This window comes from Homo sapiens, chromosome 10 (genome assembly GCF_000001405.40).
Source record: "Homo sapiens chromosome 10, GRCh38.p14 Primary Assembly".
Lineage (NCBI taxonomy): Eukaryota > Metazoa > Chordata > Mammalia > Primates > Hominidae > Homo > Homo sapiens.
In genome coordinates, this window is record NC_000010.11 from 57,695,662 (window position 1) to 57,715,204 (window position 19,543).

The following is a 19,543-nucleotide window of genomic DNA, read 5'->3' on the forward strand; positions in this document are numbered from 1 at the left end:
CTGAGGTACCAGTGATTGGCATAAGTTATCCTCCTCCTTTATTTTTTCAGTTTTCAACCATTTGACTATTACTAAAAAATAAACAGTTAGGGTATAATATACACAGAGACAAAATAAGTCAATTCAAGAGTGTAATGACTCAAATAGTAAAGAAAGCAAAAAAAGAAAGAAAGAAAGGGAAATTTTGGATTTGTTCTGCAAGACAAACATAAATTAAATGGGAAAAAAATAGTAGCTAAAAGTTAGGTCTGTTGTTTTTCCTGATTGGACTATTTAGTCAGTATGGATATTATAAAAATAAAATGGAAAGATACATATTGTCTCTGGACCTCATTTGGTAAGGTATACATAAAAGTGAAAAATACAGCCTGCTAACAAATTACTGAGTACATAAAGAGAAAAGTTTTGGAAGTTTGGAAAAGTTTGGAATTGTAAATTAGTAAAAATTGCCCTCAAAGAAAATTTAGCACTTATTCAATTCAATGTCTAGGTTTTATAGCTCTCAGTCCTCTGTTATATTTTTCTACACTTGTACAAAAATTAATGATGGCCAGGGACGGTGGCTCACACCTGTAATCCCAGCACTTTGGGAGGCCGAGGTGGGTGGATCACTTGAGGCCAGGAGTTTGAGACCAGCCTGGCCAACATGGTAAAACCCCATCTCTACTAAAAATACAAAAATTAGCTAGGCATGGTGGCGGGTGCCTGTAATCCCAGCTACTCAGGAGGCTGAGGCAGGGAGAATAGCTTGAACCCAGGAGGCAGAGGTTGCAGCAAACTGAGATCGTGCCACTTTTACTCCACTCCAGCCTACCAGCCTAGGTGACAGAGCGAGACTCCATCTCAAAAAAAAAAAAAAAAAAAAAGAAAAGAAAAGAAATGATTATCTTTTAAATGAATAGTTTTTATTCTACTGCTTTATGTCCAAGCTAGTAACAATTTCCATATCATGTTTTCTATAAATATTAGGGCCGTATTTTCAGAGATAAGGCTTTTTTTTTTAATTCTAAAAAGAACCAAATAAGAAAAGCTGGGAAATTGTATTAAATAATGGCTGACAAGGTATTTTTGTTTTCACTTATGGAAAATGAAGTCATAAATTCCTGTTAAGAATTAACTTTTTCAAAATAATGCTATGGGGCAACAGTAAAAACTAGTAATGTTAGAAGAATGTAATAAATGTTTGACTTTAACCATGAGAACATTCCAGAGGAACTAGACTTCCAGGGCAATTCTCTTTACACAGAAAATTCTGCCTTGCTCTGTAGAGAAACAGGAACTTATTAGCCCTAGTCATTCAAACCTAAAGAACTGCTTAAATCCAGAAGAGATGCGAGCAGTCATTCCCTGGGATGAGAGGCAAGAATATCTTGCTGGTTGTGGCACTGCGTGAAATCATTGCCTGATCCTGGTCCTTATAGTCTGATACAATCAGCTGAGACTAAACCTGCATTTTATCTGTGTATTGATACTGTAGCCTCCCACATGGATTGAACATTCAGACATTAACAGTCAATCTGCTACAAAAACCACATCTCTATTCATACCCCTTGCCCAGTGTAGATCCAAACCAAACCCAAGATTACCAGATAGACAGCAATTTTTTCATATTCAATGACGTGGTTTAAATACTGGCCTCTATAAGCGTGAGGCTACTCACAAGGAGACCCATTGATCCAATGAAACAGTTACTACTTCAGTTGCACTGACAAGATAACTACTCTGGATATCATTAAATAAGAAACAGCAACAATTCAGACCAGGTCGACGGACAAGCAGGACTTTTGAGTTGCCACAATAAGTGTAAGACACCTCGTGCTTACTAAAATGCAGCTTCCTCGGCCCCAGTTCAAGACTACTACACTATAATTTCTAAATAGCTTGTTGAAATTCATTTATAAATGTTTCATATTCATATCCTAATTTTAGAAAGGATAGAGATTTTAACTTGAGGGAGAGAAATAAAGTCCTATGAATTAAACTAATTAAGTAAATATCCTGAGTAAAGTTAAAGGATATCTCCTAGCCTATAAGTTCAGCTGTATCGTAGTCATAGATATTAATTCATCTAAAAAAAGGTATACCCTGGCCAGGTGTGGTGGCTCATGCCTGTAATCCCAGCACTTTTGGAGGCCAAGACAGGTGGATGACTTGAGGTTAGGAGTTCAAGACCAGCCTAGCCAAAATAGTGAAATCCCATGTCTACTAAAAATATAAACATTAGCCGGACATGGTTGTGCGTGCCTGTTCTCTACTAAAATTACAAACATTAGCCGGGCATGATTGTGCATGCCTGTAGTCCCAGCTACTTGGGAGGCTGAGGCAGAAGAATCCCTTGAACCTGGGAAGCAGAGGTTGCACCGAGCTGAGATCATGCCACTACACTCCAGCCTGGGTGACAGAGAAAGACTCTGTCTCAAAAAAAAAAAAAAAAAAAAAAAAAAAGTATGCCCTAAAGAAAGTGACATGTTTAAAAAGGGAAGTCAAAATAAGTAAATGCAGTCAACATATGCTGAAAGTATAATTTTCAAGTGAGATAGTATCCTGGTACAAAGAAGAATTTGAGACAGTGAATATTTATTTCCAATTAAAAAGTTAATGTTAAAATATTATTGCAAAGTTGTTACAAAACTTGTAATATCATTTAGGACAATAAAACTGTAATCTCCTAGGTTATCTTTTCTACCGCACAAAAATCAGTTTTATCTGAACTGAACAAAAATCTACAAGTTAACATATAGCTTCACAGAGCATTTTTATCAATAGGAAATAAGTCAAACAAAGGTACACAGACACCTCCCTAGAATTTAATAATTCCTGTATGGATATTTTACATGTTTTAGTACATTTTTTAAATCTGAAGTCATTTTTGTCCTTATATTAGTCTATTTTCACACTGCTATAAAGAACTGCCTGAGACTGGGTAATTTATGAAGAAAAGATATTTAATTGACTCACAGTTCCACAGGCTGTACAGGAGGCATGGCTGGGGAGGCCTTGGAAAATTTACAATCAGGGCGAAAGGCAAAGGAGAAGCAAGCATGTCATCACATGGCCAGCAGGGGCAAGAAAGAATAAAGGGGGACGTGCCACACAATTTTAAAAACCAGATCTTGTGAGAACTCAGTCATTATCAAAAGAACAGCAAGGGGGATGTCTGTCCTCATGATCCAATCACCTCTCCAACATTCAGGATTATAATTCAACGTGAGATTTGGGTGGGGAAATGGAGCCAAACCATATTATCCATTAATTCCAATTTTGATATTTTTTTCTTAATAATGCCCAGCAATGAACCTGGACTAGATGCTGAATCTGGGGATATGAAATATTTGGTCATCAGAGAGGATTTTCTGCAGTAGATTAGAAACATTTTTTCAGGCTTTACCATACCCTCAGCAAAATATCTCCCAAAAATATCTATCTATATCTGTTCTCCTTTTCTTGACATCTAATACTAGTTATGGGTAAAGTATGGCGTTTGTCCAATATTTAACCTGTTTCTCAGTTCCCTGTTTTGTAAAATTGAGAAAAAAGAATACCTCATTTGATGACTGTAAGATTAAATTACACAGGTAAAGGACTTATAATGTGCCTGACATACAGTTTTCAATATTTGTTGGTTCTGATTATTATTTTATATTATTATTGTTAGGATACTATTATTCAATCATAGCATGGGGTCAAGACACACAAATTCAGAGTGCTCTTTACACTGGCAGAGCAATATATTCAGAGGGTTTGCTGGAGCATCAATTTCCTCTTATTAATTATTTGCTGATTCTCTTTTGATTCTTGAATGCCATGTCCCCTAAACAGCTCATCTGAAGAACTGCTGACCACAGAGAGGACACCTTTACTGTCAGTCTGGACCCATCATGCTGTGTACTCACCTTTTCTCACTTGCCAGGTGTCACCTTAAAATTTCTGTTATCCTTGCTCACTCTTCCCTATTTTTTTTAAGTAAGCCTTTGTGTTTGATTTTGAGGCACTTGCAGATTTCTGAGATCAGAGAGCTCTTCCTACTGCAGTAGTCTTTGAATAAAGTCTCTCTTCATCTAAGTCCCCAGATTTTTATTGAACCCAGTATAGACTCTTATCTTATTATTTTCCTAGGCATATTCTTCATTAGATTGAATTCTCCAATGAATGCAATGAAATAACTAATTGGCCAAATTAAACTCACTATTTCCCTTAATAAGTACATGTTTATCTATCTTTTCTCACCATCCTAAGATTCTAATAGTTTCTTCTTAAATCACAAAATTACTCTAGAGTTTACTTTAAAAACATTGCACAGAACAAACTAACACCCTGAAACACCAGATTCCTTTCCTTTATGTAACCCCCTGAGCTTATACCACATGGTGCAGTGGGATACATTTGTGCTTACTCTCTCTCTCTCAGGAAAATATGATGTTAATATTTCTTGAGCTCTGTTTCTCTATAACAATTTTCTTCTTCCCTCTGAATTTTCTAGGTAGTTGGCAGTATGCCCAGGCCTCTTAGATTAGGGTATTCGTTCATCAAACATTTACCCTGTTTGATAGGAACTGTAGATACTGTGATAAACAATGCAGGCCCTTGCATGGAGATACAGAATTACAGAGAGCCCTGTGGTTTTCTGTATTATTCTAGTCTCCTTGGTATTCCTCTCTCTTTTAAAGTAACTACTATTGTACATTTTAAAGAAAATTATTAAGATACTTCATAGGTCTTACCCCAAGTAGTTCTTTTTGTCACTTCTCTTAAATTCACTTTTTCACCAACTGCTATGACCAAATTTTTCTTGAGTTCCTATCTTTTAGTCTTATAAATGTAGTATTGCCATGATTATTATTTAGGATTTCCAGGGCTGCAAGAATCTAATGTAAAAGAAACTAACACAAAAGATAAATTAGTGTCTCACATTTAGATACAGTTAAAGCACAATCCAGGTGCTCAGATGTCATTAGGCAATCTGTCTTCAAGTCTGCTCTGATTTCCTCTGTAACACCTTTTTTCTAAGACAAATCTCCCCACAATGGGATAAGAACAAAATAACTTCAAACACATACTCTGTAACTTTAGAAAATTTAGCTTTTCAGGTGTATATTTTTTCAACTAAAGTTCTGAGATTGTCTGGGTCATGCATTTGCTGACAAGCTGTGATGCTTTAGTTAGCAAAGTCTGGGTCACATGCTTATTTTCGAGTTGGGGAGAGTGGGTTGTCATTAGCCAAGCCAGAGCCATATAGAGTAAGAGTGGGAAAGAATGGGTTTCCATAGAAAAATATGTGTTGCTGTTACCAGAAGAAAGGCGGACAAGTTACCACCAAAACATGGGTATATCTAGTGGGTGCAAAGGGCCAAGAAGAGCCCAGAAGTGGGGGTTGCATGTTGCTTTTGCCATGGCGGTACAGACAGGCCTGGTTATGCCACTTCAAAGGGAGAGGCAATAATAATGGGTGAACTTCTATTTTTCTTCCAGGCCAACATAAGTGTTTACACAAATATGTCTAACAGTATCATCATCCAATGTAACAATATAAGAAAATTTCAGGAAACATAACCTTCATACAGGTGTCTTGAATGATTAGGATATTGTCTTCATAACAACTTTAATCTACAGGGATTTTTGTTGAGTTAGAAAGATAAAGACCACCCTTCCCCTTCTTACCATTTGCATTGCTCTTGTTTATTCATTCCCAGGGTAATTTTCTCTCCAAGGAACACTATTTAGGCCCTGTAGGGAACACAAAGAAGACTCTAATATAGCTCAGATACAGATCTACATATGTGTATGTGTGTGCATGTGTGTGTATACAGACATAGCTCTCTGTCTCCAAGGAGCCAACAACATACTATAAGAGATTAAATGGTAAGTGCCCTATAAAAGCTATAAATCAGTTTCCAAATGAACCCAAAAGTGGAAATCAGGAAAGACTGTATGAAATAATTAATATTTGGAGACTGTGTAAAATTTTGAGACATAAAATTGAGTTAGTATAAGCAAAGGCAGAAAGATAAAGGCTGAATGTGTCTGCAGAACATAGAGCAAAGAAATGAATTTTGTTGGGCCAAAAGTTACATACAGAACACTACTGAAGATAATTCTGGAAAAGTAGTCTAGGATCAAATTTTTAAAGATCCTCAATGGGATACTAAAAAGACTGACCTGAATTCCATGGAAAATGAGGAGATGCTGAATATTTTTAAGCAGATCACATGATGAAGGCAACATTTTAGAAACATTAATCTAAAGCAGTAGGTTCAGTGCTAAGGTGAGAACTAGAATTTGAGAAACCAATTAACAGTTTACTAGAGTAGCTGAGGCTAGAGGTAATGGGAAACCGGAATAGACTGGTGACAGACGAAAGAAAAAGAAAAAAACAATACTAGAAACATCAGAGAAAAATTCAAAGATTAGGAACTCTTTCCATTTTTCTTAGGCAAACATACTGAATAAGAATGGTATATTTGGGATATCGACTTTTGGATTTCCCACTCCTTACTTCACTGAAGTTTTGTCTTTATCCCTACCCCTAACCATTGGTGGAAACAATTCTGTCCAAAATTTCCAGTTCCTGTCTTATTGCTCAATCCAATGAAACCGTCTATGGTTACTTTCTGGCTCTTTCCGATGCTTCAGACTCTCTGCTCTCTCTAACAACATTCATGATACCATATGCTCATCATTCTTATGTTTCTCTGAAGGATGTTTTAATTCAATCACTTTTATACATGCTTTCTGCTTATGTCTTAGATGGCAGGATGACCTTACCCAACTGTTGTTTATGTTTGTTATTATTTGTTTAATTCACTTTAATTATTTAAATAATTATAGGTTGGCAACTCTCCAATCTATATTTCTGTCTATATTCTGAACACTTTTTAAGTTCTACATTCATAAATAACACTCCTAAACATATTCATTGGCTTTCCACTAATACCTCATAATTAATAAGCTCAAAACTGGAAACTTCAAATTGCTCTAAACTAGGTTTTTCTGATTTTAATCTAATCTCAATGAATAAAATTATCATACACTTTGTCACACAAGTCAGAATATGAAATCATCTTTGATTTATTCCTTTATTTTAAATGAAATAAAAGACTAAGACATGTTAATTTTATCTCCAAAACATTTCCCCAGAATAACCATTTCCATCATGTTTTAACTGGTAATTGCATAATTTAATAATTGGTACCCCAGAATCTTTCCTCAGTCAAATTAAATTTGTCCTTTACATAAAGCAAAGTGATCAATGTAAAATTTGGATCTGTTCACAACATCCCTTTCTTTAAATGCTTCACAGACTCTTTATTCCCTTCAGAATAAAATCCAAGCCCCTTAGAAGAACATATAATATCCTTAATGAAGTGATTACTTCTCTATACTCATGCCCAAGACTCATGACACACGACTTAAATTGAATCAAGGAATTAAAAAGTAAGTGCAGTTCTTAAATATCATGTGTTTATTATTAAAATACTAGTATAGTATGCAACTAAACAAATTGATCACTTAATTTTCTGTCTATATTATTTAAATATATAAAAATGTTGTTATTTTGAAAGGATAGTTTTCATAAAGTTATTTAGCAGATTTTTCATAAAGTTATTCAGTATGACTTTCTTTTGATACTCATACTGAGGATCTATGTAACTGTTTGAAAGTTAATAATTACTGTGAATATAAAGTGCACAACTTTTATAAGTATCATTAATTATTGCAGGATTGTACTATTGCAATAATAACTATACAGTTTACTTTAACAAAGATAGAATTTCAATATGTAAAGGACATAAGGAGATTTTTGCTCCAATATATATTGCATACTTGCCTATGTTTAAAGTGAATAATCAGATTAACAATAAATCTCAAAGACATACTCTGCTCACATTACTGAAAAGGCTATGCTGATTAAGTTTGATGCTAAACAACCTGATTTCATCATCATTTATCACTGGTGAGACTAAAAATTTCAGAACCATTGTTGAAACAGTCATTCAGTAATTCAGTCTTCCTAAGTCTGAGGCCAAAACTGAAGTCAAATTTCAGAATTTGGCTAACTATCAAGGCCAAACATAGCTGCGTCTTTAATATTTTATTCAGCATCAGTTCTAATAATGTTTTAGTGGAAAACATTCATATTCTTTGCCCTAGTGGAATTTACAGTGCAGTAGAGTAAACAAATTACAAATCAATAAATAAACAAATACAGTCTGTCCTAGTTACTCACAGATGCTGTATTTTTTAATTCATCTACTTGCTAACATGTACTTGTTGACCAAAGTCAGTACTCACAATGCTTTCACAACAGGCTCACAGCAGATAAAAATATGAGTCATCCAAGGCACATGTTCCCAGATGAGGTTGAGCAAGCTGACTCTCTGCCTTCTTTTTTCAACTCCCATTCTGTAAACAAGTGTCCTTTTCATAGTCCATTTATTGCTATATGTTTTATATTTTTGTGCTTTTTCCTGGTGATTTTCTTATTTAAAATGGCCCCCAAGCATAGTGCTGAAGTATTGTCTAGTGTCCCTAAAAGCAAGAAGGCTGTGATGTTCCTTAGGGCGAATATGCATGTATTAGAACAGCTTCATTTAGGCATGAGGTATAGTGCTTTTGGCCATGAGTTTATGTTAATGAATTAACTATATATATATATATATATATATATATATATATATATATATATATATATATGTTAATGAATTAACTATATATATATATAAAATATTTGTTCAATAAATATTTGCTAATTTGGTATTTGTGGGGACTTTGTAGAAGATGATTACCTCAAATAATGAGAATTGACTCTAAATAATGATATATTGTGCTAGAGTTATTATTCCTGGAAATGAAAAGGAATAGAATAATATTTTAGAAAATATTTGTAGAGGTAGATGCGTGTTTAGAATTGGAGATAAGAAAAACTTTTCTTAAAAATTATAGGCTATTACAGGCATACTAAAAAGGAAAATAAAATCTAAAAGATTTTAGGAGCCCAGCAGAGAATTAGATTAGTAAAATTTACAATCAACTGAAGGTAACAGGGGGATTTTCTCAATGCTTTCATAATTTCCTTACCAATATAAGCGTTGAGATACATATATATATATATATACATGTATCTCATATATATATGAGATACACATATATGTGTATATATACATATATACGTATATATATATATATATATATATATATATATATGAAGCGTGAGAGAATTAGAAGTTACCTGCAGCCCCAACTTGCCTGCCAACAAATTAAAGTAATTCACTTGGAAAAAGACTGTCTTTCAAACTTATTAAGACAAGTGGAAATTCCAACCACTACATTATGCATAAATAACCTAATACAGTATACACCATCTTGATGAGAATTCTGCTGATTATAAATAAATATTATTATTATGTAAATCAACAAAAATGCAGTGGATTTAATGTTTCTTTAGTCTTTTTAATTTGGGATTGAACTGTCGTTAAAACTTGTCATTTTATTTTTATTTTTATATTAACTTTGATGGGTTCAACAATAAATGGTGAACTGGAACTCACCCATGCTTTCTGTAGTACAGCTACTTGTGAAACATGTGTGCCAGAGATCCATTCTGCTTTGGTTCAAATCCTGGTTTAAGAACTTATTGGCTGATGACCTTATAAACATTGCCCACAAAAAAATGTAGAACCAAACGTTGCTAACTGCTAAATAAATATTACCTATTATTAGCATACACTTTAAAAGCTTTTACCCAAAACAACATTAGGGAAATATAATTAAAAACAAAATCACCTCCCAATCCAGAAAACCTCTTCATAAGAGTAGAAGACAAAACAAAATATTATTGAAAAAACATTTGGCTAGGCGCGGTGGCTCACGCCTGTAATCCCAGCACTTTGGGAGGCCAAGACAGGTGGATCACTTGAGGTCAGGAGTTCAAGACCAGCCGAGCCTGAGGCCAGGAGTTTGAAATCAGCCTGACCAATATGATGAAATCCCATCTCTATTAAAATACAAAAATTAGCTGGGTGTGGTGGCATGTGCCTGTAATCCCAGCTACTCAGGAGGCTGGGACAGAAGAATGGCATGAACCCAGGAGGCGGAGGTTGCAGTGAGCCAAGATTGCGCCATTGCACTCCAGCCTGGGCAACAAGAGCAAAACTCCATCTCAAAAAAAAAAGAAAGAAAGAAAAAGAAAAAACATTCAACAAGAATATGATGTGCATCCTAGGCAATCCTCTAGCAGACAGCAAAGGCCGAAAGAAAGCTTATCCTTTTGTATTGTAAAGCAGATATAACCATTACAGGAAGGTTCTCAACATAAACAATAACTAGTCTTCAAGTAAGAGGACATAACAGCCCAATATGTCACTCATGGCTCATCCTAAATTTATTTGGTGATTGGGGAGACAACCTATGCTTGCTAATTGGCTTTATCCAGTGAAAAATTAAACATCACATGCTTTATGATGAGGCAGTTTTGAAACTTGGACTAACTTGCCTAAGTTAGGCTCCTACATTCTCACAGAAACTGGAAGATAAGGATGCTGTCTCTCTTGATGTATACATTTCGAAGGCATGGTTCCCAGATCTTGAGGAAGGTATAAAAGCTGATAAGAAGCTTATTCAGCTTGTAAAAAGATTTACATACATTTCAAAGGGACAGGGAAAGCCCTTACAATTACAAGTTTTCTAAAGTAAATGTTCAAGGAAAAGGGAGGAGGTGAGGAGTCTCTTCTCTTATTTTCAATAGAGATTTAAGACTCTTCTTTGCAATTCGTATTTGCTCTTATAATCTCAATACCCATAAGAAAACCTAACATTCATATGTGTTTAAAAATTTGCACCGAAGTTCTACAACATTCTCCTTTCTAAAAGTTTTAAATTTATTTTCTTTTCATGGTCCTGAATCTAATAATTGACCCAATTGCTCCTCTAAAGTGGGGATAAGCAGCATACACTACTCAATCCAATTTAGTTATAGAATAACTAAAATTTGTATTGTGCTGCTTTCTACAGGTACATTTCCTTGGTGACATTTTTCCTATTTTTCAGGAGAGCACTCAGCAAGGGTGCACACTGGCCTGACACTGCCAGCAGCCTCGTGGACTAGCTGGGGTGAGCGGGTAGGAGGGTAAAGAGATAAGGTAATGAGCAGCCGCTGTCCTCTCTCCACATTCCTAGGGGATGCTCATCAAATGCATTGATTTCAAAATCAATGAAACAGAGTGGCTAATTTATTTTGACAAAGAAGCTCAATGAAATAAAACTATTTTACCCTAAAATATGGTTTTTGAATATTTTTAAATGGCTGCCCCAGAGCCAACAGACAGAGAAGGGAGAAGTTTGCGTCTGTAGAGAGCCTTCATTAATGCAGCCCTGCCTCCTCTTTCTAGGCATTTCCCTGGGATCTAGGAGAGATTGGGATTTGGACACATTTAAAGGTCTGAAAAGAAACAGTTACCATCTATTCTTTTTGAGGACTGCTAACCTATGAGGTTTCATCTGCATAACAAGGCCACCTTGGCTACCCAGGCCTCTTCCTTTCTCTCATAACCTGTCTTGCCACTAAACCTGATTTACCAACGTAGACTGTTTCTGGCCATGCTCTAAGTCTGCACTGTTTCTGTGGCTTTAGGATGGTATATAAGCTTCTGTATCTTATTGTCAGGTTGGGTCTTCCTCCTGAAGCCTCCCGTGAATACATGTTAAATACATTATATGCCTTTTTTCCTATTAAGCTGCCTCATAGCAATGATTTTTTTTCAGTGAATCCATAGGAGCCCAAGGGCCTGTGACCTCACACAGCCATGCCTTTTATTCCCTCTCTACTCCACGCTTTGGCCTGTCCACTGTGTCTATTGGTGGGTTTACAACTACATGTACAAACAGACTCACACAGAGGTGTGTATGTGCCCCATGGGCACACACACAAGCTCCTAGGTCCAGCACACCACCTGAAAATATAGGAGAAACTACCAGAATTTTTAAAATAAATTTAATACTTTTAGAAAGGAGCACCTTATAGAAATTCAGTGTAAATTTTTGTAGTATTGTATGGGTGCCCAAAAAAGTAAAGCAAATCATCTCTACTAGAATTCACTATTTTAAAGCAGAGAGACAAATTTAAAAATAAACAAATAATAAATAAATAAAGTAAAAGTTATTTTTAATCTCTTCTTTTTCCGGTTCTCTTTAACTGTCCTGATTAAGGCTATAGTTACATAATTTGATTTAGTCATCAGCACTAGAATGTGATTTAAGACAGGAAGAATATTAGAAACAAATAGAATAAGACAACATCTATGTGGTATAATTTGGAAAGCATACTGAGAACTGTTTCTCTAATGTCAGTCTGGCAATTTGCCTGAAATTCCACCATTAGAACTTCATTTAAGTTTCTGGGAATATCAGTGAAAATTTATAGGCCTCCAAAATTGATAACATGAGGCTATATTCATGGTCATTTGATTCTAAGGGGACCAGTATAACAAAAATATTTACAACATGAAAGCAGACTGAAAAGCAATGATATAGGGAAACGTTTGAGAGGCGAATACACCCAATATTAAAATCTGATACATGGGATTTATTTCTGAAGGACAGTTCCAGGAAATGAGACACGTGAGGTATCTAACATATACGGGCAAGGTACTTCTGAAAAGAGGTGGATTCTTAAAAGAGAAAGAAAAACGAGGCCGTAGCTCAACTTTGCAATCTATATTATTTTGCTTTTATGGATAAGGTAATTCAGAACAAAGCATGAAAATTGTATATTGTCCCTGTCCTTCTAACAGTCATACAGTCAGATGAGTAGGCTCTGAAGACACTAAAATATAACCGTGAAGGGAAAATCATTTTCACCATAATAATAAAGTATTATTACTGCATTCAGTGTATAAACAAAGAGGCTTAAACAGACCACATTCTGTCTTTTTTAAGGGATATTTCAACAACCTTCTGAAATATTCACTATTTAAAGGAAGTCAATAATGTCTGTTTTCAAGGCTTAGAGAGACACATATGTCCCCCCCAAAAATCAGGAAACTATTAAAACAAATTGAATCTTTAAGTTTTATTTTGAAGAGAAGATTATAAAAATATATTTTGTAGAAAAGATAAAATCTTGACTCTCATACAAATATAAGAGCCAAATTTCTCAGTGATTTTATTTAGTTTATAATCAGTAAGATGTAAAAACTGAACCTGTTTAAAAGGAGAATTCAGATAACAGTTACATATGGGCAATTAGAAAGACTGATGTCAATTTACTAATGTATACAAAACTGAGCCTTTCCACAGAGGTAAGGCAGAGAATGAATTGCATCTCCACTGGACAAAATTCAGCTTTGCTTAAATGGACAATAATAAATTGTATTACTATCAATTGTCCAAAATGTACAGAGTTGTAAAATAATTCAGTTAAAAACTGTGAAAGGAACAGAGCCCTGCAGAAGCAGGTAACTCAAAAGAGTGCCCCAGACAATGTCTAGTATTCCATTAAAAGGACTCACAATAATCTGCTTGACCATTTTAAAGCCTTTCACAATCTTTCCCGATATAAATAAGGTGACATGTCTCAAGACTCTTGGCCACAGTCACTGAGACTTTGGAAAAAAAAAAAACTGGCATATTGACCCGGGTTTAGTCTAATTATCTTTCCCTTCTTTCCATTATCTCAGTGCCACTTTGCTTAATAGGGATCATAAGATTTGGGTTCCAGATGCTTCGCTTCCGAGACAGGCTAAGAAAACTTAGTTTAAGGGAAAGCAACTTTAGGATTAAAAGACAATGAAGAAAGTGAATTATCAAGGTTGAATTACTTGTCACTTTTCACACTTGTAATTTATTACACAAACATGAACTTAGACATTTCTGAGCTACATATAAGGAGAAAATTCTAAACTATTATCCCTTTGCTCCTTAAGTGAAAACTTATTCAGTGTTTATCAACTGTAGGTTTTTCCCAATATGAATTCAGAAATGCAAGAAAGCAAAACAGGTGAAAATTAAATTTACATTTTCAAATGACATTTTCCCATTATACAATATTTCCTTATTTAAAAGAAAACTTAATCATTTGACTCATTCTAAAAGAATTCAAGGATAATGCTATGGTTTGAATTATGATAGTTTTTCAAAATTAATGTTGAAACTTCATCCCCAATGCAGCAGTATTAAGAAATGCAGAGTTTGGGATGCCTTTGGTGGAACACTCATTAATGGGATTAGCACCCTTAAAACTGGGATTGAGGTTGAAGGGGGTTGTCTCTTGTCCTTCCACCTTTCATCGTTTGAGGACACAGCAACAAGTTGTCATCTTGGAAGCAGAAAGCAGACCTCAGCAGACACTATTGCTTGGGACACCTTGATCTTGGACTTCCCAGCCACCAGAATGATAAGAAATACATTTCTGTTCTTTATAAATTACCTAGTCTGTGGCATTTTCTTATAGCAGCAAAAAAAGGGGATAAGACAAATTATTATCCATTCTCCCTTCATTAACTTAGGAATTATTTCATTTATTCAAGAACATTTAAGTCTATTCTCCCACGAGCCAAATGCCCTCTTGAGAATTAGGATATAGGCCAGGTGCGGTGGCTCATGTCTGTGATCCCCGCACTTTGGGAGGCCAAGACAGGCGGATCAGTTGAGGTCAAGAGTTCAAGACCAGCCTGGCCAACATGGTGAAACCCCATCTCTACTAAAAATACAAAAATTAGCCAGCCATGATGGCATGTGCCATAGTCCCAGCTGCTTGGAGGCTGAGGCAGGAGAATAGCTTTAACCTGGGAGGTGGAGGTTGCAGTGAGCTGAGATTGTGCCACTACACTCCCCTGGGTGATAGAATGAGACTCTGTCTCAAAAAAAAAAAAAAAGAGAGAGAGAATTAGGATATATAGAATGGCCTACACATTTTCCTGCTATTTCCCATTCTTGCTGGGAATAGAATTAATGGCAAAGAAGAGATTGCTGGATTTGAGTTTATGTAACTGAATAGCACTCTCCTCTTTAAAGAGGCATTTGTCTAACACAACCAGCATAAAGACCCAGCTGGCTAATCTAAGCTCATTCAAAATAATCTAGAGGAAGACAGGAATACCACAATTAAAAGGGTATTTGCATGATATGGAAAAGGCTTTGTAGCCAAGATCTTTTCCACTACAGAGAAGTTTTTGCATTGCAGTTTTGCAGCTATGGGACTAACATAGTACCTTAACTAGCTCTCTTTCTTGAAGATACATACAAATTAATGAAGTTGAGCCTAGAGAACATTATGCTAAGTGAAATAAGCCATGCTCAGAGTGACAAATACCATAGGATCTCATTTATAAATGGAATCTTAAAAAGCCTAACTCATAAAAGTAGAGGGTAGAATAGAGGTATCTAGAAAGTTGGTGGGCAGGGTATAGATGGGGAATGGGAGGCCTTGGTCAAAGGGTATGGTTCAGTTAGACAGGAGGAATAAGTTCTGGCAATCTATTGCACAGCATGGTGACTACAGTCAATAATAATGTATTGTATATTTTAAGATAGCTAAAAGAGAGAATTTTTAATATTCTTATCACAGAGAAGTAAATATTTAAGGTAATAGATATAATATTTGAGGTTAAGTAAACTGATTTGATCATTCCACAATGTATACATCCACCAAAACATCACATTTTGCCACATAAATATGTATTATTATTGGTCAATTAGAAATAAAGTAAAACATTACAAAGTAAATGAGGCCAGGCATGGTGGCTCACACCTGTAATTCCAGCACTTTGGGAGGCCAAGGTGGGTGGATGACTTGAGGTCAGGCATTTAAAATCAGCCTGGCCAACATGGTGAAACATCATCTCTACTAAAAATACAAAAATTAGCTGGATGTGGTGGAGCGGGCCTGTAATCCCAGCTAGTAGGGAGGCTGAGGTAGTTGAATCTACTCAAGTAAATGAGTAGAATAGAGCAAAGCTAAGTTTTCAATGTTCAAAATAAAACTCTAATTCTATTAAATCAAACATGTTTCTGAGAATTTATAAATGAATTCTCATGAATGTATAAGAGTTTCAGAGAAAATCTTCAATTCATGTCCCCATGGAAATAGTTACACATAAATCTTTTTTTTTTTTTTTTTTTTTTTTTTAGAGGGAGTCTTGTACTGTCACCCAGACTGGAGTGCAATGGCGCGATCTCAGCTCACTGCAAGCTCCACCTCCCAGGTTCACGCCATTTTCCTGCCTCAGCCTCCCAGTAGCTGAGACTATAGCCCAGCCTAGTTACATATGAAAAAATATTGCCCCTCTACTCATCCCACCTACCAACCCCCACTCAAGCAATTAATGAAGAAATATCTACTTGGAAGAGTTCCTCACCATTTGGCCTATCTTCTCCTAAATTCAACAGTATTCTTTGTGTTATCATGTATAGTTATACCATTCTTTGACTTAATTAAAATTTTTAGACTTAATTAAAATTTTAATTACATTTAAAAGTTATGGAATTATTTGTTAGCAAATTATAGATAGCTGCTAATAAAACGTAAGTGCTAAAATGCAAATCATATCTAAAAGTAAAAGACACTGGAAAACATACCTGCTTTTCATGTGGTTAATCTCAATTTTATAAAAGGTTTTGGACAGGAGTTCCATTGTACTATGAGTATTGATACATTGTAGATTTCATCTGCTACAAAACTCTTAATTAGAAATAGAATATTAAAACCCAGTTAACCTAAGCTATTTTGCACAAAAAAGAAAAAATCAAATAGGAGTTTCCTCTTGTAAATGAACACATGTGTGTTTCTGTTGACATCTTCATGTTTCATGTCCAGTCAGAAGCAGCTTGGAACTTACGCAGCCCAAATATCTAGGTAGTAGGCAGTGAGTTTAGTCAGTAGTTGAATGCAGATATAACAGAAAAAAAAAAATCACAAAGTTATTTCCTGTCTGCTAGGCAAATATCTGGGACTTTTGCAGCAGAAAATCCACCCTAGAACTTAAAGTATAATAAAAAAAAAATTATATATATATATATATATAAAGAAAGAAGACTTAAACAGCAAATACCCTGGGAGAAGTAATACAGTGGCTTTAATTGAAATAATATTATCAGTTGCTACTACTGGACCCCCTCCTTGAGAATAATGTGGGTTAGGTGACTTTGGGGAGAAAATAGGGAATATGGGAGATAGAAGGGCAAAAGCCCTAGAGATATAATTGAGATGGAGAAGGAACATTGTGACATCACCTAATTTATCCTTTTTTTTAAATTTTCTGGATCCAGTTTTGCTTATGCCTCTCCTTTCTTAAATTTTCCTAGAAAATTATTTTTATGGAGAATTCAAATTTATGCATAAAGCTTGTAGAATGTAGTAGGTAACTCTGCTCCTCAAGAATCAAAGAAATAACCTGGTTTTTGCAGGACTTATGAGCTGAACTGTGAGTACAGAATGCTCATGGAAATATTAGGCTAATAGATTATGTTTGTTTATGAAGAATTTTGAAGAAAGCAAAACTTGTCCAACCAAATAAGCATTGCCTTTTTAAAGTCTTCTAAAGGGGAAGCTCTGCCACTGTTTTTGATTTTTTTTTTTAATGACCTAAGACTACAGGACATTCTTCTGAATATTCTCTTCACATGTTACTTTTTTCATCATGTTTCTCATAAAATTCTAACTCCTCTCTGGATCCACTTCTGAATTTTTATTTAGATGAGATGTTTATTCTGAATATCAATTAAAATGAATATATATATAGACAGCATCAATATGTCACTGTGGTAAGCAGAATTTTAAGATAGTCCACAAGTTTTCCATCCATTTGTGTATACACCTTATATAATCCGCTTCCCTTGGGGGCAAGAAGAACCTGTAAATATGACGGTATAACATTTCTATGATTAGGTTACTGTATTCCTTTAATAAGGTTAGCAAAACAAAACACCACAGACCGAGTGATTAAACACAAACATTTATTTTCTCATAGTTCCAGAAGGTAGAAGTCAGATCAAGTTGTTGACAGGTTTGGCTTTTTTTCTGAGCCCTCTTTCCTGCCTTGCAGATGGCCATGTTCCCTGGCTGTCTTCACGTGGTCATTTCTTTGTCTATGTGTGGTAGGGGTTTTAATCTATCATTTTTAAGAGAACATCAGGCATGTTGAATTACAGTCTATCCATATGACCTCATTGTACCTTAATTACCTCTTTAAATGCCCTATCTTCATATACAGTCACATTCTGAGGCACTTGGGGTTAGGAAATCAACATATGAATTTTGAGGTAACATAGTTCAGCCCATAACAGTTACTAACCAGTTGATATGGGTTTGTCACAAAGAAAATTATCTAGGTGAGTCCAGTCCTGGTGGCTCATGCTTGTAATCCCAGAACTTTGGAAGGCCAAGGTGGAAGGATCGCTTGAGGCCAGCAGAAATTTGAGACCAGCCTGGGTAACATAGCAAGACCCCATTTCTAAAGAAAAATAAAAAAGGAGATTATCTAGATACATAATCTAGATAAGCCCTTAAAAGGGACTTGTTTGTTCTAGAAGTCAGAGAGGACAAAAGTATGAGAGAGCCTGGGAGAGGCCTGGGAGAGAGCCTGCTTAGTGTTCACTTGATATATCCTCATGATAAAATTCAGGTCATTGAGTTTTGGCAAAAATACTACAGAAGTTTTGGCAAAAATATGACGGAAGTGTACTTCTTATATAAGAAGGCTCATGATGCTAAATTGTCCCATTGTTGAAGATGTTAACTTAATGTCCTTTGGGTTTTTTTGTTTATTTTTACTAAAAAGGATATTCTATTCTTTTTAATTAATAAATATTTTCAAGGGATGCTTTGAGGATATCCAAATACCTTATTTCTGATCATGTTTTCATGCACTTCATTTTTTACCATTAATGATTTTTTTTTAATTGAGATGGAGTTTCACTCTTGTCACCCAGGCTGGAATGCAGCGGCACAATCTCGGCTCTCTGCAACCTCCACTTCTCAGCTTCAGGTGATTCTCCTGCCTCAGCCTCCCAAGTAGACCATTAATGATTCTTATAAGAAACAATTACTACTGTAGTGTTTATCAAATGTTCCTTTGCTATTTTTCTATTGTTATTATGCCTTCTACATTCCCCTGTAAGGGAAGCTTTCCTTCACCACATTGGTTATTCAATTATTTCTTTATGTTAATATGAACTCATAATTATTCCACAGGTTATAAAGCATTGTCAATAGTATTTATTTTGTGTACTTCCATTGTTTTATCTTTGGCCACAGAAATCTCTTTCAAATTGGCTCCTATGTTCTGTTGACTTGCTTCTATCATTTTTTTGAGCACTTATTTAGTGTAAAATGTTACATGTTCATTATATACTTTGTGTGTCTCTGCCCTGAAATTAGCCATTTCTTCCAAGAAACTTGGTTCCATTTATTCAAAAATGTAATTTAGAAAACAAGTTATGGACAGTAGGTATGCTTATTGGGGCTGGGGTTTCATTGTTTCTAGGTTCTCTTAGAGCTGTGAATATTATGTATGTATGTGTGTTATACACACATAAATATGCATATATATAA

At 35.2% G+C, this 19,543-nt stretch overlaps 1 long non-coding RNA gene across 1 annotated transcript in view, besides 1 other annotated feature; it reads right to left on the bottom strand.

Moving 5' to 3' along the window:
- Positions 1–4,331: 4,331 nt before the first annotated feature.
- Positions 4,332–19,543, bottom strand: part of LOC105378314 (uncharacterized) — a 147,384-nt gene continuing 132,172 nt past the window's right edge. The window contains exons 2-3 of the long non-coding RNA XR_001747454.1: positions 5,659–5,724; positions 4,332–4,880 (exon numbers count right to left, since the gene is read on the bottom strand). This is a non-coding gene — a long non-coding RNA (uncharacterized LOC105378314). The remainder of the gene's footprint in view (positions 4,881–5,658; positions 5,725–19,543) is intronic.
- Positions 11,204–11,737: an enhancer, noted in NCBI's record as "OCT4-NANOG hESC enhancer chr10:59466625-59467158 (GRCh37/hg19 assembly coordinates)". NCBI's record gives its function as "activates a minimal SCP1, AML or CMV promoter by ChIP-STARR-seq in naive H9 embryonic stem cells {active_cell/tissue: H9 hESC(naive)}" and the evidence as "EXISTENCE:reporter gene assay evidence [ECO:0000049][PMID:30033119]".